The 24,815-nt window shown below is 48.0% G+C and overlaps 1 protein-coding gene across 3 annotated transcripts in view, besides 2 other annotated features; it reads right to left on the bottom strand.

The window, feature by feature from the left end:
• AGAP1 (ArfGAP with GTPase domain, ankyrin repeat and PH domain 1) overlaps positions 1 to 24,815 on the bottom strand; it is a 637,751-nt gene that overhangs the window by 485,477 nt on the left and 127,459 nt on the right. The gene's annotated exons all lie outside the window — the stretch shown is intronic.
• Positions 2,238 to 2,532: a silencer, noted in NCBI's record as "tiled region #12909; K562 Repressive DNase matched - State 8:EnhW". NCBI's record gives its function as "represses a minimal TATA promoter and a strong SV40 promoter by Sharpr-MPRA in K562 cells {active_cell/tissue: K562}" and the evidence as "EXISTENCE:reporter gene assay evidence [ECO:0000049][PMID:27701403]".
• Positions 14,225 to 15,098: an enhancer, noted in NCBI's record as "H3K4me1 hESC enhancer chr2:236539863-236540736 (GRCh37/hg19 assembly coordinates)". NCBI's record gives its function as "activates a minimal SCP1, AML or CMV promoter by ChIP-STARR-seq in primed H9 embryonic stem cells {active_cell/tissue: H9 hESC(primed)}" and the evidence as "EXISTENCE:reporter gene assay evidence [ECO:0000049][PMID:30033119]".

Genomic DNA, 24,815 nt, shown 5'->3' with positions numbered 1-24,815 from the left:
TCCTTTTCTGTTTACCAAACAAAACAACCTTTTTTTTTTTTTTTTTGGAGACAGAGTCTAGATCTGTTGCCCAGGCTGGAGTGCAATGGCGCAATCTCACTGCAACCTCCGCCTCCCAGGTTCAAGCGATTCTCCTGCCTCAGCTTCCCGAGGAGCTCAGATTACAGGCACCCACCACCACGCCCAGCTAATTTTTGTATTTTCAGTACAGACTAGATTTCACTGTGTTGGCCAGGCTGGTCTCGAACTTCTGACCTCATGATCTGCCCATCTGGGACTCCTAAAGTGCTGGGATTACAAGTGTGAACCACTGCGCCCGCCCAGAACAACCTTCTTGATGTCAACCAAGAAGCTTGATAGACTTGGTTTCACCACTTCTGGGTTGGGGAAATTGTAGCAATGGAGCAAAGAATTGTTAGATTCTGAAGTCCTTATCTCAAGCTATAATTCTCAGACAAGACCCTCGCTCAAAAATTAGAAAAGCTCTCTAAACTGTTTAAAAAATCACCTTCCTATAAATTCTGATTTAACACAAGAAACAGGTAGCAGAGACTGGCTAGTTGTTTCTGTGCCGGTTTTCTCCTTCCCCTGGACACTCAGGCCGACCTTGTCTCCCCACCTCCCTCTGCAGGAAGGGGTGGTCATCTGACTGCGTGCTGACCCATGGAAGGGGGATGTGCAATGCTGTGTGCCCCTGCCAGGCCTGGGGCGTAAACCCCTGCAATGACCCATTCTCTGAACTCTTCTTCTTTCACGGTGGCCCTGGATGGCTGAGCCCAGTCACTAAAGGAGCGTTACTAAGCAGAAGCATCTCTTTCCAACCTAATGTGAAAGGGCAATAAACATCCCTTTGGTTAGTCATTGAGAATTTGGGATCTATCTGTTGCCATCTAATAATAGTGCCCTAATAAATACAAAGCCGGAGACCTCACTTCTCATGAATTCTATCCCTTAGCTTCCTTTAAATGGGCTAAATCCATCTTCCAGAGCAACTTTGAGATAGGTATGTGAGCCCACCTCTTCATTTTTGTTTTATGTAGAGTTAATTAGTTTTCAACTGTAATTCTACTTTGTTTGTCATATGGCAGAATGAAGGCCTAAGATTAGAACTCTTACACCTTGGCCGGGTGCAGTGGCTCACGCCTATAATCCCAGCACTTTGGGAGGCTGAGGTGGGCAGATCACCTGAGGTCAGGAATTCTAGACCAGCCTGGCCAACATGGTAAAACCCTGTCTCTACTAAAAATACAAAAATTAGCCGGGCATGGTGGCAGGCACCTGTAATCCCAGCTACTCAGCAGGCTGAGGCAGGAGAATCCCTTGAACCTGGGAGGCGGAGGTTGCAGTGAGCCCAGATCGCGCCATTGCACTCCAGTCTGGGTGACAAGAGTAAAACTCTTGTCTCCAAAAAAAAAAAAAAGTCTTACACCTTGATTGCTGTTGCTCCACTATACTTAAATGCAATCTACGCAAGTCATCCTTGAAAGACAGCGAAGCTGACACACCATAATATTGCTATAGCGTCAACACATCAGTAACAGGGGTTCCCAATCCATGGATCATAGTGGACCAATGGACGCAACACTACTGGTCAGAACTCTGGCACCAAGGTGCACTGTGCTGCATATCAGTTCTAACTCTCAAATCCCACGGCCTCTCTTGCCAAGATCCCCTGGTGGCCAAGCGCCTGACTTGGCTTTTCCTCATGCTAGCCCAACAGGGATGTTTGAATGGTTCCCTCCAAGTGCAGAGAAAATGGTTGGTCTCCAGTTCTGGGGATTAAGATTCTGCAGTGAGCTATTTACACCCAAGCAGAGAATGATGATGAGCTACTCTCAGATAAACGGGGGCGATCCTCTGTGGTTTTGGTACAGACTCCATGGAAACGTATGTGTAAGCACCAGCAGGTCCAAGGGCTAAACATCAACAAGAGCTCTCAGGAGTCCCTGCAGACACACACACATCCGTGAAGAGGCCACATGACAGTGAACGGGACAGAGATCGCGCTGGCAACAGGCTCCGCTCCGTTCTTCCCACTCTCACTCAGTATTATCTAATCAGGAAGAAATCTAACTGTTCTTCCAGACTTTCTTCTCCCATCCTCTCATCTCGCCTCCAAGGATTCCATCCAGTACTTCCCAACCACCTGCAGCGGAAGCAGCTCAAATAATCCTATGACATCTACAAGTCTGCAAGGCTGACCTTCCCGGGCTCCCACTGCTCCCTGCTTCCAGAACGTGAAGGCTGCTTTGCAATAGACTGACCCCCCTTTGTGGCCAGGGGAGCCATCTTTCTGCTCATTCCAGGCCTCCCTTACTACAGAGGCACAGAGCAAAGGCAGCACACATCACGGGGGCTCTGTCATCTGCTTCCTTTGAGTAGATAATCAGTTTTCACTCAGAGGAAGATCACAGGACACAGAAGAACCAAATGTGTATGCTGGCTCAGATACCAGGGGCCCTATTAAGAGATAGCATAATGGGAAAGATAAGTAGGTTGTTTTCCCCCCACAAAGTATCTATTTCTAAGCTATGTTTCAACAGTGCGCTGCAGCAGTTTCTGGCTTCCTATTCAAGGGAAGAGAAACAGGGTTTTGCTCAGATGGATATACTAGATACGGTTATCTCACTTGGCCCCTGCAGATGGAGATGGTAAATTCCTAATGACTTTTCCAGGGGAGATGTTTGGGGGCTCACTTGGCAACACTAAACAGTTAGATCTATCCCTTTCTGTCAAACCAAGAGAGTTTTCCAGTTTTTTCCATTTCCCCAGTGCCATTATGATGATCATTGCTCCTTGACAACACATTAAAAGATAATGTGTGGAAAATTTTTAACATCCTTTAAACTTTCTTTCTTTTTTTTTTTTTTTTTTTTTTTTTTTTTGAGACCCAGTCTCTCTCTTGTTGCCCAGGCTGGAGTGCAATGGCACAATCTCGGCTCACTGCAACCTCCGCCTCCCAGGTTCAAGCAATTCTCCTGCCTCAGTCTCCCGAGGAGCTGGGACTACAGGTGCCCGCCACCACACCCAGCTAATTTTTGTATTTTTAGTAGAGACAGAGTTTCACCATGTTGGCCAGGCTGGTCTGGAACTCCTGACCTCGTGATCCACCCGCCTCGGCCTCCCAAAGTGCTGGTATTACACGTGCGAGCCACTGCACCTGGCCATCCTTTAAAATTTCAAAGAATCCATGTATGCACAGCCAGTCCCCCTCTCTGAGCCTCAGTTTCCCCCTCTGCAATAGAAAAAAGGGGGAAGGAGCTGGTCCCTGGAGTCTGTCCCAACTGTGTATTTTCTCCTCCCAAGAAAACCTGCTGCAAAGCCGGGGCTAATCCTACAGTCACCTCCACCGTTCGGTACCTTGCCAGGTCCCCACCACCACCGTGCCTTGTCATGGCAGCACATTACAGACAGGCGGCCCCAAACACCACAGTCTAGGCCACGAGAAATCTGCCAAGACTCAGCAACCTGGGATTTGCCTAATCTTTGCAAAGCAAAATAATTTTATTCCAAGACAATGAGATAACTACTTCTCTATTTTCCCCCCTCCTTCTAAAAGCAAGAATTATGTCTGCACATCTCACATAAGCAGAGTCCTCTATGGCTGCTGTAACTTCCTGAAGCAAAGTAGCCTTGGGAAAGTAGTGGTCAGAGCACCCGCTGATTCATCCCCAAGCTGGTGTGGAGAGCGGAGGCTGGCCTGCCTTCCAGGGTGGGTCTGCCTCTGGACAGCTGGCCCCTGGTGGATGATGGTCCCGACAGCTGTTAGGACAAGTGGAAGGTGGAGAAGACAAGTCCAGGCATGACTGTCCACTGGGAGTGCTGGCAAAACCAAGACCCAAATCCCCATCCAGAGGGCTGCTGCTGTGGTGGGCTCTCATAGACCTACTGGGGACAGTCCCTGCAGATAAATCCCTAAGCCAGGTTTTCCTCAGTCACAAGCTCTCTTCTAATCAATGCCAGTGGGTGCAGCCCCAGGTCCCAGGAGGTTGAGTGCAGAGGGCCCCTCACCTCAAGTTTCTTTGTAAATCCTCCCCCACTGAATGCCCCCAAATGTGAGGAAAGAAATGCGCACTCAGGAAAGAGATCCCATTGCACATGCCACGAGCTAGCAAGACTTGGGAGAGGAATCCCCAGTGCCAGAAGGCCAAGTCGAGCAGGCGCCGCACTCCGTGGATGGGCACCCTCTGGAGGGCCCCTGGGGAAGTAAGGTAAAAACACAGGCATGTGCACCCCTGGGACCTGAGAATCTACTACGAGGCTTTATGCTGAGTAAAGAAGCAAGATGATGTAAGAAGATACCTGAAGAAATGGACAATCAACAGTAAACGGCTTAAATGCTCACAAAATGGGAATGAAGACAGAGGAGCAGTTTCAGAGAATCTTGTGCCACTGTTCAAATGATAACTGTGAAGGCCAAGGAGCAATGCAGAAAATGCTAATAATTCTTAAAAAGCACTGGAATCAGGTCATACCTGTGCACAGAGAAAAGCAAGGCTGGAGAGGACACAGAATACTGAATCAGGTAATGTGTTGAAATTAGATTATGGGAAATCATTCTTCAACCATTATATCCTATAGTGTGGTAACATTATGCCAGTAACATTGTTTGTGAAATAAATAAAATATGTATTTTTAAAAATGTAACAAATAATGCCACTGAACGTATGTGGGGGGGAAAGTAAAGCCTTGGGACAAACACAAGAGAGGCAGGGTTCTGAGTGAGAGGCACAGCCGCGTGGGCGGGAGAGGAGCCCACAGGCACAGACGGGCCACGCAACCCACTCAGCCTCTCCAACTTTTTGACATTTACCAAAGTGCTGCTTGAAGTGCTGCCTTGGAATGCAAAGGGAGGCATCCTACCAAAAAAGAAAAAAAAAAATCGGGTCGGGGAGAGGAGAGGCATTTCTTTTTAAATCACAAATTACCCTAACACAACCAGGACACTTAAAAAAAAAAAAAAAGGAAGGAAGGAAGAGAGGGAGGGAGGGAGGAGAAAGAGAAAGAGAGAGAGAAAGAAAGAATCGCAGTACTGAGGACTTACACATACATCTGCAGTTTTATTTGCCTGAATCATATTTGTAACATTAGAGGGTAATTTTTTTAGTTCAAAACTCCCATTATGCATTGTTTCAGATAAAGTGTAGGTCTGACCAACTCCATTTCTGTAATTGGCTGGTGGGCAGGACATGTGCTTTGCGTGATTTATGGGAAATACTCTCTAATCACAACCTGAGTTAAACTCCCAGAGGAAAAAAGAACTATTGTAGGCAAAGGTATTAGGCCGGTCATTACAAAAAGGCAGAGTTATGAGACATTATAAAAGACATTGTTATCAGACAACTATAAAAGACACTGTTATTAGGCAGGAAAACAGGTGGAGCAGCCAGCACTGCTTGCCAGCCCACCTAAATGAGTGAAAGCAGTCAGGACTCCTGGACTTTTCTCTCCCATCTTTTCCAATCCACCAAATTTCTGACACTTCTTCAAGTGGAAAGAAAAAGAATTTGCCTCTCAGACTCACTCTCAGGCAGGTTTGCAAAGTGAAGTTCAAAGGGTTTGCCTGCCTAGACTATTCTTTAGAATTTGCCCCCACGACATTTTTAATAGAAGACAGGGGAATAAAAATGGTGGTAGGTAACAGACAGCAGACACAGGGGCTAGAGAGGGAGGCCAGCCCCATTCATGGTTTTTCCTGCAGTCATTGCCAATTAGACAGCTTAATTACAGGCTGAAGCTGTTTACCGAAGAGAACAGTCAGTAAACAACCAGGAAATGCAACTCCTAGCTGGTCTCTAATTAAGCTGGGCCTGTCAGTGGGGAAAAATGGTCCTTTGGAGTTTTAGGATTTTCTTGTTCCTAAGTTCTGAGATGGGTAATGCATGCTTCCTTCTTTTTCTGAGATTATCCTTCTGACCTGGGTTGGGCCAGCCTCCCTGGACCCTTGAATTTCTGCTGGAAGGAACAGCACCTTTTCTCCTGGCCTGAGGCCATATAGCCAGTAGAGATCATTTTCTCTTTTAACTGCAGGGTAAAACAAGCCAGAGCTAGGGAGATGGGAGTTCAAATCAAAAAGGGCAAGAAATGTTACAGGGTCTTAAGCTTGCCTGAAACAACTGTCCTTCTCTATCTGGGAATCTAGTGGAAAACAGCAAAGTGAGTTTCTGACTAAGAGCAACTGTCCACCTCACCCTAGAACTGCCAGTATTAGTGATAGACAGTGCTGGTGTGCGCCTGAGAGGGATGAAGTTAAGTGCTTGTAAACAAAGAAATGCAATTAGGTTGCCCTAAAGACTGCTAACCGCTTCCTGAGAGATAACCCAAATCCAGCTATCAAGAAAAACAAAAACTGCTTTTGAGCAACTGTGGGTCTCTAACCCCATCATGGGCAAATTACAACTATAAAGGTGCTGAAGGGGAAACTGTCCATCCCTGCTGACTCTATCAATCCGTGGACCCCTCAAGACGTTGCAAATAATCCAAAAAGAAGTCCGAGAACAGTTTAACCTGCTCTTAAAAGTGTTTTTCAGAGCCTGAGAAGCAAAACTGGATGGTCTAGAATGTGGGATGGCATGTGCTGATTTTGAGAACACGAGATGCAGCGAGGCAAGCGCTGCCACTATCTAAGAGTGAAGGAGAGTCCCTGCGATTCTTCCCCAAACAACAGTGTGCCCAGAACATTTGGGCACCAGAAACACAGCAGGCAGCTTGACCAATAAAGGCCAGAGAGTGCTGAGTGCATGACGGCGACAAGTCCCACCCACCATGAGATCATCCCACGATGTTTCCACATCTGTTCATGAGCCTCATCCTCACCAGCCAACAGTCGCTGAGCAACAGCTCTGGCCAGAGAAACAAATTCCCTTCCCAGCCTCCTCTTCCTCTGCCCACCCTGGAAACACTGGGATTCCCCGGGTTCTATCGCAGGCCGACTTCTCAGGCCACACCGTGGTCCTGGGTGAGCTCACCCACCCACCTCCAGGGCGTGCTTTCCATCTTCCCATAACCTTCAAATGGATGCCCCCAGCTCAGCTCTGAGCTTGAGAACCACTCACCCAACAGCCTACTCAGCTGCTCCCTGGGAACCACAGACTCACAACAGCATGGCCAAAGCTGAACCCATCCCCTCTCTCAACCTGTGGGCCACTATCATCCGTCCAATTCCCCATGCCCCACATCCACCCTCATTCCTGCCTTGACCAAATTCCATCCATCAAGTCCTCTAGAAGCTCCCTCTCAAATGGCTCTAAGACTCTTTTGTCCCCTTCTCTCCACCCCTACTGACACTATTTTAACCAGTGGGTCTCAGCAGGTGATTCTGCCCCCCAGTGGACATTTGATCTGGATTGCCTGAAGACATTTTTGGTCACCGCAACTGGAAGAGATGTTACTGGCATCTAGTAGGTAGAGGCCAGAGATGCTCCTGAACATCCTGACATGCACAGGACAAATAATTATCCGGCACAAAATGTCAATAGTGCTGAGGCTGAAGACCCCTGAGGCCCACGCCAGCCCTCCGCCTGGGTTGTAACCAGCTTCCTGGCTGCTCCCTCCTCCTCCGGCCTCAGCCTGTTCTCCACTGGCAAGCCAGAGCAGCCATGTGACTCCAGGACACCACGCTATTATTCTCTGGAAAGCAAAGACAATGATGGCTCCTAGTTCTCCTACTAATTGGGAACCACCATTCATACTGTGGTATCTTTCTTTCCTGTCTTTTTTCTGGGCATATATACAGTTTTGAGGGTTTTTAAATACAAAACTGAGCTTATATGTGACCTACTATTTTATAACTTGTTTTTAACTTAATAAAGTGAAATAACATTTTCCATCGCCATTGTGATGTTTATTTTAACTAGTCTCTATTCACAATTTGTTCTTGGAGCACACTGCAGTTTTCCCCACGACTTCAGTCAAGGTTTACAGAGCAGCCACCCTGTGCAGTGCACCTCCCAAGACATAGGCCTGGAGTCTCCAGGCTCCCGTTCGAAGAGCTGCAACTGTGAGGGGGCCACACTCACCTCTCACAGCACATCTCAGGGTAATCTGATCGAACCTCCTACCTTATAGCCCAGGATACAGCAGCCCAGGCAGATGGGAGGAGTATACCCAGGCCACGCAGCTCTGCTGTGTGACAGAACCAACTAGAGTCTTGCTCTCCTGACTGTCTACCCACACCTGTTATGGTTAATGTTACGTGTCAGTTTGACTGGGCATTTCACTGGGCCAAGGAACGCCCCAACAGCCGGTAAGATATTATTTGTGGGTGTGTCTATGAGGGTGTTCCTGGAAGAGATAACAGCTCGATCAGTAGAACGAGTAAAGATAATCTGCCTCACCCATGCAGAGGGCATCACCCAATCCACTGAGGACCCAAAGAGGGCAAAAAGGTGGAGGAAGGGCAAACTCACTCTCTCTGTTGGAGCTGGAACATCTGTCTCTTCCTGCACTCGGACATCAGAGCTCCTGGTTCTCGGGCTGAAGGATGCCACCAGTCTTCCCAGTTCTCCAGTGTGCAGACAGATCATGAGGCTTCTGGACCTCCATAATCTCACGAACCAATTCCCCTAACAGACCTCCTCTTCCATATGGTTCTGCTTCTCTGAGAACCCTGAATAATGCAACACTCACTTTCTTCCATACACAATACTTCCTCTTCCTATGTGTAAAGTTCTGAAACATACAGCCCACTGGTCCGAACTTTCCACCTTCACTTTTGTCCTAAAAATAATAATGAAGGCCGAGCACGGTGGCTCATACCTGTAATCCCAGCTACTCAGGAGGCTGAGGCAGGAGGATAGCTTGAGTCCAGGAGTTCAAGACCAACCTGGCAACATAGTGAGACCCTGTCTCTACAAAAAAAAAAAAATAATAATACAATTAGCTAGGCATGGTGGCATGCACCTGTGGTCCTAGTCACTTGCGGGGCTGAGGTGGAAGGATCACTTGAACCCAGGAGGTCGAGGCTGCAGTGAGCTATGACCGCGCCACTGTACTCCAGCCCAGCCTGGGTGACAGAGTAAGGCTCTGTCTTTTAAAAAAAGTCACATTTTGAGGTCCTAGGAGGTGCTGGGCAAACTGTCACTACCACTGTATAAAGCAGGTCTTAGCCTCATTTTACAGACAAAGAAACTGAGACCAGTGGCACCTGCCTCGTACAAGATGCTGAATCCCACAGTGAGTCAGGTGACGTTTTAGTTTCCTGGGGCTGCTCTAACAAAGTGCCACAATCTGAGTGGCTTCAGAAACAGACATACATTGTCTCACAGTTCTGGAGGCCAGAAGTCCAAGATCAAAGCGTCAGCAGGGCGGGTTCCTTTAGGGGCGGTGAGGGAGGGTCTGCTGCGAGCCTCTGTCCTGGCTTCTGGCGGCTGTCTGGTTATCCTTGGCATTCTTTTTGGCTTGTAGAAGCATTACCGCAGCCTTGACATGATGTTCTCCCTCTGTGCATCTGCGTCCAAATTTCCCTTCTCAGAAGGACATCCATCATATTAGATGAGGGGCCCACCCCACTCTGGCATGACCTCATCCTAAATAATTACATCTGCGACGACCTTATTTCCATTCTGAGAGACGATCACATTCATAGGCACCGGGCGTTAGGACTTCAACCCCCAACAAGTGATGACACGACGACTTGGTCAGGCCGACTCACCTCTGGGCCAGCGGAGTCCTGGAACAGTGAGTCTAGCCCAATGTCATGGGATGCTGATGTGGAGGGTCCAGAAGTGAGGGATGCCTAGGGGAGTGGACGCTGGGGGGCCTCTGGAAGGGGAGGCTTCACATCAACACTTGGTTTCTGGATGAGTTCTCTGCCGTCCCTGACAGTGACTGAGGGTTCGAGACCAGATAGCCAACTTCCCTTTCCACAGGCATGAACACATCCACAGCGAAGGGCTTTCTCCTGGGTGTAAATTATTTGACTTCAGTGATCCCACAAACGCTCCCTGAGTGGGTGTGTTCATTTTTTAGTGGTCATCCCAAAAATTGGGGGCAGGGGACACTTTCCTGTCTGTCTGCACACAGCCAGATAAAGTCCCAGAAAGGTGCCCCAAGGATAAAGGCCCTGCACTCGCTGAAGAAAGGAGAAGAAACCAGAACCAAGCTGGATGAAATTCAGGACCAGCCTTTCTCTTTAGAATCTTTTGCTCCATAAGATGAGACTTTATTTATTTATTTATTTATTTATTTATTTATTTATTTACTGAGACAGAGTCTCGCTCTTGTTGCCCAGGCTGGAGTTCACTGGCACGATCTCGGCTCACTGCAACCTCCACCTTCCGGGTTCAAGCTATTCTCCTGCCTCAGCCTCCCAAGTAGCTGGGATTACAGGCATGCACCCCCATGCCCAGCTCATTTTTGTAGTTTTAGTAGAGACGGGGTTTCACCATGTTGGCCAGGCTGGTGTTGAACTCCTGACCTCAAGATCCACCTGCCTCAGCCTCCCAAAGTGCTGGGATTACAGGCATGAGTCACTGTGCCCGGTCTAAGATGAGACTTTTAAAGCACGGAAAGGAAAACATTTGTCCTACTCAGAACGACCTATCAGTAAACCTCCAAAGCCAACAAGTTTTAACCTTCCCGCCTCACGCATCAGACTTCCGGGCAACGTGGCTCCTCATAGCACAGCATCAGTGCAGGAGCGAGGCAGCTTTGGAGAAGGTGCCATGGCTAACTCTGATGCCTCCCTAGAAAACTCATTGATCTAGTAGGTTGCTCTAGGTTTCCAAAAGAAAACCAAAGTGCGTTCTTTCTTCTGTCTTCTTGTTCCTCAGAGACTTACCCCATGGTTTCCAAATCATGTTGAATCATCTCAAACAATGGAACTTTTTGGATGATGAATAAAAGAACGAATTCACCACACCAAAATGACAAATTTTCAGAGTAATTTGTTTTCCTAGGAGGGCTTATTACCAGGCAAGATGAAAGTCAATCCTACGGGCAGAGAAAAGGAGAAACGGAGAAATGTCCTGCTTGTACAAGGAGACTGTGCGCAGCTCACTCACGGGAGTGCTTCATCCTCTGCTAAGTCACCTCGGATAGGCATCCTCATTCCCATTTTCAGATGAGGACACGGAGGCTTGGAAAGGTTTGACCGACCCACTGCTGCCACACACAGGGTCAGGGTAAGGCTGGCATCAACACTCAGGACGCCTGTCTCTAAGTCCAGCTGCTCTTTCTACTTATACCACAGTACCTCTAGACCACCAGGTCCTGAGGCAGGAGATTCCCAACTGGAGAGGAAACATTCACGCTTCAGAGGGAAAACTGGTCCCAGAATTGAGAAAGCGCCACAGGAAATTCCATGCAGATCTGAGGACACACGGTTGGCCACTGTCTACAGCGGGGGGGAGGCTGAGGGTGAGGAGGTGGGGGTGGACCAGGCACTGTCTGCTCCATCCACTCGTACATGGAACAAACACATCCTAACACCAATAACCAGCCAAAGCGTGTGCCGGAACAAAACAGAGCCTCCTTCGTGGTACGTAAACTCAATTCTCTCTGAAAATTAAACATTTTGACATTTTGAAAAGATGGTTTTATTTTGATCAAAATAAAAAAAATTAGTGTTCTCAGTTTCAAACTAAAGCAAGAACACAGAGAAATCTGATGAGGAAAAAGCCACAAAAATGTGGAACACAAGCCTCTCTAAAATGGAATGTGGAGGAAGAACTTACGGCTGTCCCCAGATTCCCTACAAGGCTCAGCTTTCTCTGATGATTCGCAGTGTCTTGGTCACAATTAGTCTGCAATACAGGTGGCTGAACTGATTAGAGATGGGCTTGCTTCACAGCCTGAGAGACTCCATTTTGACACAAAAACTTGGTTTTTTGATGGACAGCTTCTAAGCTCCAGCTCCCACAGCTGCTTGTGACAGGACCGAGTCCCATCTCAGGGATGCCCTTGGGAACCTTCCGAAGTCTCAGCTCTTTGTTGCTTAAACAGTACCATATGCAGGGTGCGTAATTATCACCACAACAGTGCTGCTGCTGTGTTTAAGACTCCAAAGGATGTGTCGATGAAATACACAGGTACACAGAGATACACAGTGAACTGGGTGCTTTCCTCTAGCAATGCACCAATGCAAACTCAAACATGTATTCTGGAATATATGCCATAATTTATCATCAGGACTTGAAGAAATTCAGGAGACAGACAAGATTAATTGTGGGAAAATCAAGTGAGAAGCCCCACAACTTGCCGTAAAGCCTCAGCTACCGCTTCCCCCATGCCTGTGGGCCCCGCCCACCCAAGATCTTTAGAAAATCAGGGCACCAGGCTGCAACTCTGCGGCGGGGGGCTTGCTGGGGGCTGCAACTTTGCAGGGAGGGGCTTGCTGGGGCTCGGAAAACTGATACCCCAAAGTAAAGGCCACCCTCAGATGCAGCCAAGTTTCTCTCTGAGCTTCTCCTGCTCTCCTGATCTCTTGCCCCTCATTCTCCCCTGAGCCACAGGAACTAGAATTCTTCATCCCTAAGACAGGTCATAGAAACCAAAACCCCTTTTCCCCAAAGCTAGCCATAAGCCTAAAAATATTACTGTAACCTTCCCCCATCTTTTTAGGTAAAGCTGTCATAAGGTAATTAAGACCCTCATTCCAGAGGGGTCCCATCCCATACCCGAGAGGAAGAAATGTTACACAGAGGCCAAGAGGAATCTGAACAGACAGGCCTTGTAGGTCTCCCCACTCCATCTATGACAATTCACTCAAGCTCTTTTATTTTTAAGACAGAGTCTTGCTCTTGTCACCCAGGCTGGAGTGCAATGGTGCGATCTTGACTCACTGCAACCTCCTCCTCCTGGGTTCGAGGGATTCTCCTGCTTTAGCCCCCGAGTAGCTGGAATTACAGGAGCCCGCCACCATGCCTGGCTAATTTTTGTATTTTTAGTAGAGATGGGGTTTCACCATGTTGACCAGACTGGTCTTGAACTCCTGACCTCAGGTGATCCACCCACCTTGGCCTCCCAAAGTGCTAGGATTACAGGCATGAGCCACCACGCCCGGCCCGCTCATGCCCTATTTGTCCAATTCCACTTCTACTTGGCTGCCCCCAAGTCATGGAACCAAGGCACACAGACGACCTCCCCTGAATCTTCGGGTCTTCATTCCGTAGGCTCCCGCATGCCGTAAAACCAGGATCAAGTAAATGTATAATGCTTTTCTCTCGTTAACCTGTCTTTTGTTACAGGGATGTGGGCCATGACCCTTATGATGGAGAAGAAAGGGATCACCCCCTTTCTGCCGCTAGAAGTTCAAGCAAAAGCAGAACTCAAAAGCCCACCAAGAGTCGGGGGTTCAGAGGCTGCACCACGGGCTTCTGGTTTGGAAGGAAGCCGAGACCCCTTCCTGCAAGGCTAGGGCTAACCCCACTTTGCAAGAGGTCGTCTTCCTTTTTCTGCCAGCAAAGCACCTGAACCTTCTTCTAAAACAATTATGTAAATCTAAGCAGGGAAATCAAAGCGGCAGAGCATGTTTTATAAACCACACACCAGCACACCACCAGGTGCCACAAGAGGAAAACCGGGCTGATGAACGTGCAATGGCCGGCTATCAAGTCTCTTGATTAAATCAGCGGGCACTGTTTAGCATGGGAAACACGGCCACCTAAATAGCAGGAGAGGTGACAGAACCGTGGTCCCCAGAGGGAGGCCAGGTGGAGCTAGAAAAACTGAAGCAACTGAAGCAATCAAAGTTTCCCAATTGCTGCCAAGACCCCAGCCCGATTTCAGCAAAGAAAGGAAAAATAAACCCTATCAAACTTGGCCATCAGCAGATGGTCACAGATGACCCCAGGTGTGTTTCAGACTTGCCAGCTCACCAAAGCCCATCAGGCATGTAAAGCTCACCAGGCAGTTGCTGACTACTGCAAGCGTAATGGACGTGGCGAAACAGGGGCTCCATGGAGGAACACACAGGCAGAGGGGAGGCTGAGAGGTCCCAGTCCCCCAGAGCTGCCCTCACTACTCTGAGGCACCCCGAGGATAGCCAAAGGCTCTGAAGCTCAGAAACTGACTTCTTTAGCTCCTGGGGACAGCTGGCTGGGCAGTTCATGCGAACACTGCTCTGGTGGTGGGAGATGAAGTCAGAAAACCAGTTCATTAACTCCCCTTAAGTCACTGAACTGCCAGGGCGGCTAAGCTCTGGATCTTGCAGATAACACATTCTCACCTTGTATGCTAATTAGAATCACTTGGCCACATATGTCTGAAAACCCCAAATAACAGTGGCTTATACAAGACAGAAGAATATTTCTCTTACCCCTTAACAAAATCTCCAGGTGGGCTGTCCCTTGAGGCTGGTGACCCCATAAACCCAGACCCCTTCCAATGCCAACATGACCCTTGCTGTCCCAGTCTCAGATGGTGGCCAGCCATCATATATGCATGCAGGTAACAGATGGAAAAAGCAGAAAGGAAGGGTCAAAGGCAGGCCTTCCAGAAGCTGCCACAAAACACCTCCAGTTGCATCTCACGAGAGTGGCCACACCTGACAGCAGGAAGGGCCACCCAGCCGAGGAGACCGTCACAACAGCCGGAACTTAATTAGCACCGCCACCTGCCACAGGCAGCTCCAAGGCTCCGTGTGTCACCTCACAGAATTTTCTGACCATGTGAAGCAGATACTGCTATCCCCCGTGCCATCGAAGGTCACCTAAGCACAGAGAGGTTAACCAACTTGCCCAGAATCACACGGAAAGCAAGCCCAGGGAAGAAGCAAAAAGCAGAAGAGCACCAAGAGGAAATAGGTCCTCTAGGAAGGGTGCCCTCAGTGTCCATCTTCACAAGGAGGGGCCTTGGCAGACTGACCTTTGACCAGCAGGTATAACCAGGACCACGCAGTCCGGTCCTGGGACCCAGAAACCCTCTCTACCAGCAGTGATGGCCCACCCGGAGGCTGTCCTCCTTGGCTCTCCCGCCTCGTGGCCTCTCCTTGGCTAGCTCGCACAGCCTGGCCGGTCATGGTTGGCTAATCCATCGTCCTTCCTTGCGCCATGCTTGACTTTTCAGTTGAACTCTCCTAACTCAATCCTTCCAAGCCTTTAGGGGACACCACCCTTTTGTTACCCTGGGATCTGACAGCATTCCAGTTATCGAGTTTGCCATTTACCCACTGGAAGGAGGCTCTTCAACGTGTTTATTTGCAGAAGTAATGAACCCTGCTAACATCAGCCCTCGTCCTGTGGATTTTCCCTGAGTGTGTAACCCTGGTATCCAGGCATTACCAGTGCATTTGCATATGAAGGAGCTAGACTGTGGGCCCTGTCAAAATATTTTTGACAGGCCAAAGACGCGTTTTACGACACGATTCACAGTTACCAGAGAATGTGTTCACAATATGCTTCCGCAATCTGCCCCTCTCGTGCAGCGGCTCTTTGTTTTGATCGGGCTGCGGCTGGCTGTCACTCGTGTTCATACATTATGCAGACCCGCAACGGGCTGGGCCAGCACACAGACCTCAGTTCAAATCATTAGGAGGAGAAATGACAAACGGAGGCAGCGGGGCTGAGCGTTGCCATGGTGGCAGCCAAGGGAGGGTGGTCCTGTTCCGATGAAGGACAAATGTACCTGCACCTAAGCCAGTGGCGAGCCGAGGGGCACACCAGGGCAGAGAAGGAGCAGGACCAATTAACTTGAGAACTGAGGCACACATCAGCTGCTGCTCCCCAAACTAACCCCCTAATTCTTTCTCAAATACAGCTTACCAGTAACATGGATGTGCAATATTACAACACGACACGGAAAAATGCTAATGTGTTAATAAGGCTACAAACCCTATCTCAAACATCTTTAAAAAAACAATGTACAGGGGCCGGGCATGGTGGCTCACGCCTGTAATCCCAGCACTTTGGGAGGCCGAGGCAGGTGGATCACCTGAGGTCAGGAGTTCGAGACCAGCCTGATCAACATGGTGAAACCCTGTCTCTATTAAAAATACAAAAATTAGCTGGGCTTGGTGGTGCACACCTGTAATCCCAACTACTCGGGAGGTTGAGGCAGAATTGGATGAACCCGGGAAGCAGAGGTTGCAGTGAGCTGAGATAGTGCCATTGCACTCCAGCCTGGGCAACAGAGCAAGACTTTGTCTCAAAAAAAAAAGTACAGAAAGACGTTTAGGAGGAATTCCACTAAAATATTAACAATCGTGTGATAGCTCCCTGGGTTTTCAAAAAACAACTTATTTGTTTCAGTATATGTTTAATTTGGCACAAAATCTTTCTACAGTCCTATATTTTTAAAGTTTCATCTTAATGCATTTCCATCCTGCTGGAAAAAAAAATTAAATGTAATCAGACATTTTGTATACAGTGATGAAGTGGTTAACATCTGCTTTGAAGATGATACTTTAATTAATAAAGCATCATAAAAATCTCTGGAGTAATGTCTGTCATGAAGTCTATTCATGCCACATTATCAATGGTGATTTCTGTTCTTTCTTTTTTTTTTTTTTTTTTTTGAGACAGGGTCTCCCTCAGTCACCCAGGCTGGAGTGCAGTAGTATGATCATGGCTCACTGCAGTCTTGACCTCCTGGCTCAAGGGATCCTCCAGAGGGGCTGGGACTACAAGTACACGCCACCACGTCCAGCTATTTTTTTTTTTTTTTACATTTATTGTAGAGATAGGGTCTTACTATGTTGCCAGGGCTGGTCTTAAACTCTTGGGCTCAAGCAATCCCCCTGCCCTGGCCTTCCAAAGTGCTGGGATTACAGGTATGAGCCACTGCGCCCGGCCCCTCAATGACTTCTTACTCTTAAAATACCTCATGAAGTCCCCATGCTGGACACCTGGCCCCTGTGCTGGACACTCGATACTCACCTGCTGATTTTCATGTCTCTGTCCTGTTCTCCTTTTCTTGGTCTACGGTGTCTGACTAGGGCCAGAGCCTCCCACCACCCACTTTCCTCCTTGCTCCCCAACAAGTCTGATCCTGTTGCATCTCAAGAGATGGGCAGTGGCATCAATCAACAAGTGGATAAAGAAACTGTGGTGTATACACATACACACACACACACACACACACACACACACACACACACACACACACACACAATGACTACTACTCAGCCTTAAGAAGGAATGAATTAACGGCATTTGCAGTGACCTGGATGAGATTGGAGACGATTATTCTGAGTAACTCAGGAATGGAAAACCAAACATTGTTGTTCTCACGGATAGGTGGGAGCTAAGGTATGAGGACACAAAGGCATAAGAATGATACAATGGCTCACACCTATAATCCCAGCACTTTGGGAGGCCAAGGCGGCTGGATCATGAGGTCAGGAGTTTGAGACCAGCCTGGCCAATATGGTGAAACCCCGTCTCTACTAAAAATACAAAAATTAGCCGGATGTGGTGGCAGGCGCCTGTAATCCCAGCTACTCGGGAGGCTAAGGCAGGAGAATTGCTTGAACCCGAGAGGCAGAGGTTGCAGTGAGCCAAGATCACAGCACTGCACTCCAGCCTGGGTAACGGAGTCAAAAAACAAACAAACAAACAAAAAAAGAATGATACATGGACTTCGGGGACTTGGGGGGAAGGATGGGAGGGGAAGCAGGGGATAAAAGACTACAAATAGGGTGCAGTGTACACTGCTTGGGTGATGGGTGCACCAGAATCTCTACAAGTCATCACTAAAGAACTTATTCATGTAACCAAACACCACCTGTTCCCCAATAACCTATGGAAAAAAAAAAGAGGTGGGCAATGGCTCCCCCTTCTTTCCAGAGCATTCAAGGACCCACCAAATCTTGTCTCCATCTTCCCCCAAAGATACCCTGGGCTCTTCCAGAACCGGGCACTTCCACCTGCTTGTTCTTCTGCCTGGAGCTCACTCCCAGGCTTCCCTTCTGCCAAGTACATTCCCAGAAATCCATGCAAAGAACATCCCCTTTCCGGCCCTGCCTGGGTCCCTGGATCCCTGCTAGGTGCCCCTGGACAAGTCCAGTGCTCCTCCATGGGGACAGGAACAAGCACAGGGCAGTGGTCAGGCTCAGTATCCTCTGCCCCAGCAGCTCCTCCACCAAGTGGAGCAGCTCACAGGCAAGTGAGGGACTCTCGCTGAGTTGCCGAGTCTCTGAAAGGACTGTAGGCAGCAATGCACAGGTGCCCAGACAGTGCCTGACGTGTGCTGGGGGCTGGCCCTGCCTTCTCCCCATCCGCTCACCACTGAACTACCCCAGTGCAGTCAATGGTCTCACGGAGGGCTCTAGTGCTCCCCCTTCTCCTCCCACTGGAAGCAGGTCCACCTTGCTTCGGGGGGAAGCCTGCCCAGTAAGTGCATGGGGGGCTCAGACCCTCTCCCTGTGTCAGTCAAGGGCACTGTCCCAATTCAGCCTATGCCCCCCTTCTTTTCCACCAAACGCACCATTTCCTTTCCTAAGTTCATGCTCCTAAGGGAACCTCTTCCTCCCTCCCATTGAGAAGATTATAGGACATATTTTTCTAGTTCTGACCTTGTCCCATCTCTGTTTGGCCAGAACTCAAAAATAACATTCAAAGCACTGAGAAAAATCACCAAGAAAAACCATTTCTCTTTCTCAGCAATAGACATGAGCCCCAACTGTGAATAATCTCAAACAGGAGTATTGCAATGGGAGACTAAGGGCTGAGCCGGGGACGAGGCATTTTACTATTACTATCCTGGGCAATCTGGGGGACACAGACCCCAAAATCAACAGATGCTGCTGCTTCACCTCACACCACAAAATAAGCCCCACGGGCAGTGGACTTGGTACCAAGACGATCAGACGCTGAGGCTGGGGGATCAGCATGCCCAACATAAAGAACTCAAAATAGCCGGGCGCCGTGGCTCACGCCTGTAATCCCAGCACCTTGGGAGGCCAAGGTGGACGGATCACTTGAGATCAGGAGTTCGAGACCAGCAGGGCCAACATGACGAAATCCTGTCTCTACTAAGAATACAAAAATTAGCTGGGTGTGGTGGTGCACACCTGTGATCCCAGCTACTCAGGAGGCCGAGGCAGGAGAATTGCTTAAACTCGGGAGGTAGAGGTTGCAGAATTGCTTAAACCCGGGAGGTGGAGGTTGAAGTGAACCAAGATCGCGCCACTGCACTCCAGCCTGGGCAACAGAGACCCTATCAAAAAAAAAAAAAAAAAAAAAAAACCTCAAAACAGCCTGGGGCCAGCACAGGAAAAGCAGGGGACAATGCCACTCCCCTTTATAAGATAGACTGAATTGTTTTCTTAAAAGGATTCTGCAGTGTAAAATTAAAGAACAAAACAATATCCACGCTATGTCTTACTTTTCAACTTAAGACAGTTGGGTTTCAAACTTACGTTATGTGAACAGTGAAAATAAACCCAACATATCTATGCGCTGGAATGACCCACTATCAGTGGATTTCAAAAACAAAAGTCCTTAATGGGACATATTAGAACAGAGATCAGGCCATGGGCCACAGGCCAAATCCAGCCCACCATGTGTTTTTGTAAATAAAGTTTTATTGAAACACGCCATGCCAATTTGTGTCTGTACCTCTCCCTACAAGAGTTGAGGAGTTGCCAGAGACGGTACCATCCTCAAAACCTAAAATAGTCACCATCCAGCCCATTCTGGAAAGTGCACTAAAACTTTTTACTTCAACTATACTTTCGCCCCTCAGAAAATACATTTTTAGTATTACTCAGGTTACTTCTTCTTAAATAACTGTTCACATAATTAGCGTGTTCATTGAGGAAAAGAGAAATGCATATTTAAGAAAAAATGTAAAGGGAAAAAAATCACTTATAAAATCCACTGTCACTGCCACAAACATTCTGGCGTATGCCTTTCCAGACTGCTATAGACATATGTACTTTTAAAAAACGCCACCATTAACTGTCACACACACTTCCCATGTGCCATGCACTGCACCCAGACCTTACATGGGTCTCCCCATTAATGGAACAAGCAAGCTTATGAGGGAGAGAGTGTCAGCCATATTCAGTTCGTTTTTGGCTTGAGACAGTCTCACTCTGTCGCCCAGGCTGGAGTACAGTGGCGTGATCTTGGCTCACTGCAACCTCTGCCTCTCGGGTTCAAACTATTCTCCTGCCTCAGCCTCCTGCGTAGCTGGGATTACAGGTATGCACCACCATAACCGGCTAATTTTTTTTTTTTTTTGTATTTTTAGTAGAGATGGGGTTTCGTCATGTTGGCCAGGCTGGTCTAGACTGCTGACCTCAAGTGATCCACCTGCCTCGGCCTCCCAAAGTGCTGGGATTACAGGCATGAGCCACCGCACTGGCCTATATTCAGTGATTTCTGTACAGTATGGAGGCAGACACAGATATCACACTTCCCAATTTTTCGCTCATAGGATACAGCAGCAAATGCCTGTGCATTATTTTTACAAATAGCTCTGCTAATATTCTACTTCCCCGAAACACCTTTCTCTGTGTGGAATTTCAAGAATAAATGTGAGAACATTTTTAATACTTGGTCACATGTTGTCACAATGCTTTCCAGATGCAGTAGCAACATCTACACCTCCCAATAGTGTGGGGCAACATCCTAAATTATTTTAATTTTCTCTTAGAAACCTGAGCCATGATTACAATGAAAAGTACTAGCTGAAGCTACAAACAAACCATAATATATTTCAGACGACTATTTTCCCCCAGCTGAATATGTCACAACCAACTCTGTATTTAGAAAAGTTGCACAAAGATCCCTGAAACACACACCTGCCCTCATTTATGTTGTTCCCTATTAACCCCACCTTTTAAGCTGAAGTTTATAAACAACTAAAATCTGGTGACTTGTACTTGCAAAATCAGCAATCTCATTGGGTTGGTAAAAAGACACATGCAAAGCATGGTTTTCTCTTTCAAACCATTGAAACCCACCATCCCTCCAAAGGAAAGGCACCTTTCTCCCAGATTTACAGAACCTCCCCTGACCTCAGCGATGCAGGACTCCCATGAATTTCTTCCAGCTGCCTCAGCTAGGCTTTCAAACTGTCCACATGCGCAGGTCTTCACACCTCCTCCAGGTCACCTTATACTCAATGCTGCTAAAGGCATCACCCCAGAGTTGGAGGCCTGAGTGACCTGTAGGGTGCCCTGAAGCAGTTCAGGCATGTGCAGAGGGGACTGCTGGAGTCAGAGAGTTCAAGGTCATGAAGGAAAGAAGAGCAACACCAAGAGTCTAGAGCAGGCACCTGGAATGATTCCGAGAGCCTTCCTCATCCAATGATCACACCTGCTGTGTTAGTCCATTCTTGCATTACTCTAAAGGAATATCTGAGGCTGGGTAATTAATAAAAGAAGTTTAATTGGCACACGGTTCTGCAGAGTGTATAGAAAGCATGGCATCAGCATCTGTTTTGGTGAGGCCTCAGGAAGCTTCCAATCATGGCAGAAGGTGAAGGAGGAGCAGGACATCACATGGCAAGAGCATGAGTAGAGGGGTCGGGGAGTGGGGAAGGGGCATACTCCTTTAAATTGAATTTGCATGAACTAACTGAGCAAGAACTCGCTCATCACCAAGGGGATGGTGCTGAACCATTCATGAGGGATCTGCCCCCATGATCCAATCACCTCCCACCATGCCCCACTTCCAACACTGGGAATCACATTTCCACAAGAGATTTGAAGGGGACAAACTTCCAAACCCTATCACCTGCAATGATCTGAGGGGCTGTAGCTGAGACCCCTGGCAAAATCAGAATCTCCTCCATCCTCCCCACAAGCACAAACATTACAATGCCAGCACACACGCACATACACTTTACAGCACACAGAACAGAAAAAGCAATATTTAAGTAATGAAATATTTTAAGTTCTAAATGGAATATTCTAGAGCAGGTAAAATGAAAGAACCAGAGCAACATGTAGCAGAACAATTGTTTTTCCATTCCAACCACTGAAGGACATCTTCAGCAGGCGACCACTGTAGGTGCTTCCCCTCATGCACACAGAGCACCATCTACTGTCTAAGGACACAGAAGTAGCGGAGGAAAGAGATCCAGATGGGAAAGACAGACCATCTTCAACAGAACAGAGAAGGGGGCAAGGGGACTTCCACTGTATCTGTAGGTGTTTCTTCCATAAACACCAACACGCACAACATACAGAGAAAGCAAATATGGTAAAATGTCCCATCAGGGAGAAATGACATCCATCATGGTCTTTTCTCCAGTTTTTAGTATTTGAACCATCCTGTACATTCAACGGTTAAGATAAAATGTACATTTAATGGTGAGAAGTTTCCTTTCACAAAGTCTCACTTGCAACGGTGGCTGCAGAGCTGATATTTGGCCACTGGCTCTCCTGGATTCAGCCTGGGAGCAGGTTGGCCTTATTTTGGTGTTCTTCTGTTAGTAGTAAGCAGTGACAGATCCCCTAAGACTGCTTACAAGCACACTCAGAAACACAAATGGATCCAACTTCTCCAGGAGACAGCTCAAATTGGAATCATCTTGAAAATGGAAACAAAATATTCCTCTTGGGCACTACACCTTATTAATTCTGACCTTTTGTTGCATTACAAATACTAAGCATTCCATAAATATTGAAAAAAACTACAATACTCAAAAAAATCTGACATGTAAATTAATGGCTTAGGGAGGCTGAAAGCAGAGATGTATCATTCATTCTGAGAAAATGTCCAAAATGAGGGGAGGAGTGAAGATCCAAAAGTCAAAAAATATATGGCAACTGCATCACAGACCTGCAACACAGCACCCTAACCTACCATGCATCTCCAGGCTGGCTCAATGGCCCACAGCTTCAGCAACTAGCTTGGGAGCACCATGCTGTGAAGGCCCAGCAGCACAGGAACAGGAAGAGAGAAGTGCTCAGCAAGAGGGGCTGAAACAAACACACTCAACCCGATGGCTTGTGTCATCCTGAAACCTTGAAGCAGCAAATCCCAAAGCCACCACGTGCAGACCAAGTGAAGTCTAATAACCCACCATCTCCAAATTAACTAATTTTCCATCCCCAAAACATGGTTTGCCGATATTTACACAACGAGGCAAAGCAAATCTTGATTTGTAGGCTAACGCCCAGATTCATTTGACATGCCCAACATGCTGTAATACGATCAACAAGCAGAGGTCAGCCTGCAGAACACGCATAAATCTCCAAAACAGTCCATCCGTTCAGATGCATTGTTTCTGCAGCTGTATTGAAAGTTCGAAATGAAAGGAAAGGCCCATTGATTTTAAAATATCATAGCTGTAGCAGCCTGGAGAACATCAGGCAATCCACTGGAAAATGAGCTGCATGAGAGACATCTATTCCCCCAAAAAGAATGTCCAAGTTAGCTTCTAACCTCTTCCACTTTTCTCAATCCAGAATAAACTTAAGATTCAGCGACAGTCATTGCTGTTGACTTTGTTCCCCTCCTGCTTCCCTCCAGTGTGCAGGTGGGAATAGCTGGGGACGTGGTTCTCATGCCAATAGGACCGTGAAGCAGTGCTGACTCCAAGAAGAGACTATTAACATCACATCTTACTTTCTACAATGACTGTCCAGTGTGGGTGCAGGAAGCGACATGTGTGCCTGCCCTGAAGTCTCACTGCATAACCCGGCCTGGGAAAATGGCTTAGCGCTAAGAAGAGTCTGGCATACGTGAGCGCGCTACAAACATTAGCTACCGTGGTCCAAGTGATCCACAGCACCTCTGACAGTGTCCACTGAACCATGTGCTTCTGATCCAGCCAGGGCTCCCAATTTCATAGGTCGCATTCTCAAAACCGACGTTGGCTGAAGCGTCAAAGTTGACTTAGTGAGTCCACCAAGAGGAGCAACTGGGCCACCGGGGTTCAGTTAAAGGAAGCACAGCAGCAGCCAACACTGTCCTCCCCAACTGCTGTCTTCAGATCCCAGACACCTGTCTCTGCAGATTGAGTCCAGGCACCAGGTCTAGATCCATTCATCACCCCAGTGAGATGGGCGGACATGCAGGAGAGCAGCGTGGCCGTGAAGAAGCTCAGGGAGCTCTGAAGGATGAGAATGCTACAGACCACTGGCTGTCCAGAGTCACATCTCAGGACCTGCTGACAGTCTATTCCACTGTGAGCATTCTACAAAGCCAGCAGGAGGGCTGGTGTGACTATGACCATTCCTAGGAAGCAAAGACGAAGGCTCCTTTCCCAAAATTGGGAAGAGCATGAAGAACATCAGCTTTTATAAAACCTAAGCTACTTTAGCTAAATCTAATTTTGTACAGAAAAAAAAAAGTTTATTTTGGATGTCTGCATGTAACCTATTCAAAACACAACAAGAAAAGATTAAGGCATTCTAAAGTGTTGAATATGAGCTTAGGTTGGACAGTAGCAAGCTGACCACTAGTTAGAGGAATGCATTTAAAATTCTGCTCCATCAGCTACAACAAAAAGGACAGAGTCTGTAAGAGGCCGTCAGAAACATCCACACAGTGGCCGCTGTTCTGAGGGGGTGGGGGGGTCTGCGCGGCACTCCCTTCCGATCGCACCCCTCCTCCACTCCTACCCAACTGCAGAGAGCCAGAACATCAGCAGCCGCTCCCAGGGGGTTACTGCCATGTGCCCTCTCCTGTTAGACTGGGAATAGCTCCCAAGTGACTGCTGTGCCTCTTCTATCTTCAAATCCTTAGGACATAAACCCAGGGCAGAGAGCAGGCACTCCAAGTTCCAATGCATGAACAATGGGCACAGGGAATGACCAACCCTTGTGTTGGAGAGACCAGAAGGGTCACTGACATCTGGAGTCAGAGGAGCCCCTAAATGCATGATGGGCAGGGGCCATTGGGGTCAGCCCAGCCAGTGCCCAGAGAAGCCGGCTCAGAGACGTGACAGGGCCCTTGACACATTCACATGACAGCCTC

Source organism: Homo sapiens, chromosome 2 (assembly GCF_000001405.40).
Source record: "Homo sapiens chromosome 2, GRCh38.p14 Primary Assembly".
Lineage (NCBI taxonomy): Eukaryota > Metazoa > Chordata > Mammalia > Primates > Hominidae > Homo > Homo sapiens.
Note: the sequence above shows the minus strand (reverse complement) of the source record. Positions and strands in the feature narration are given on the sequence as shown.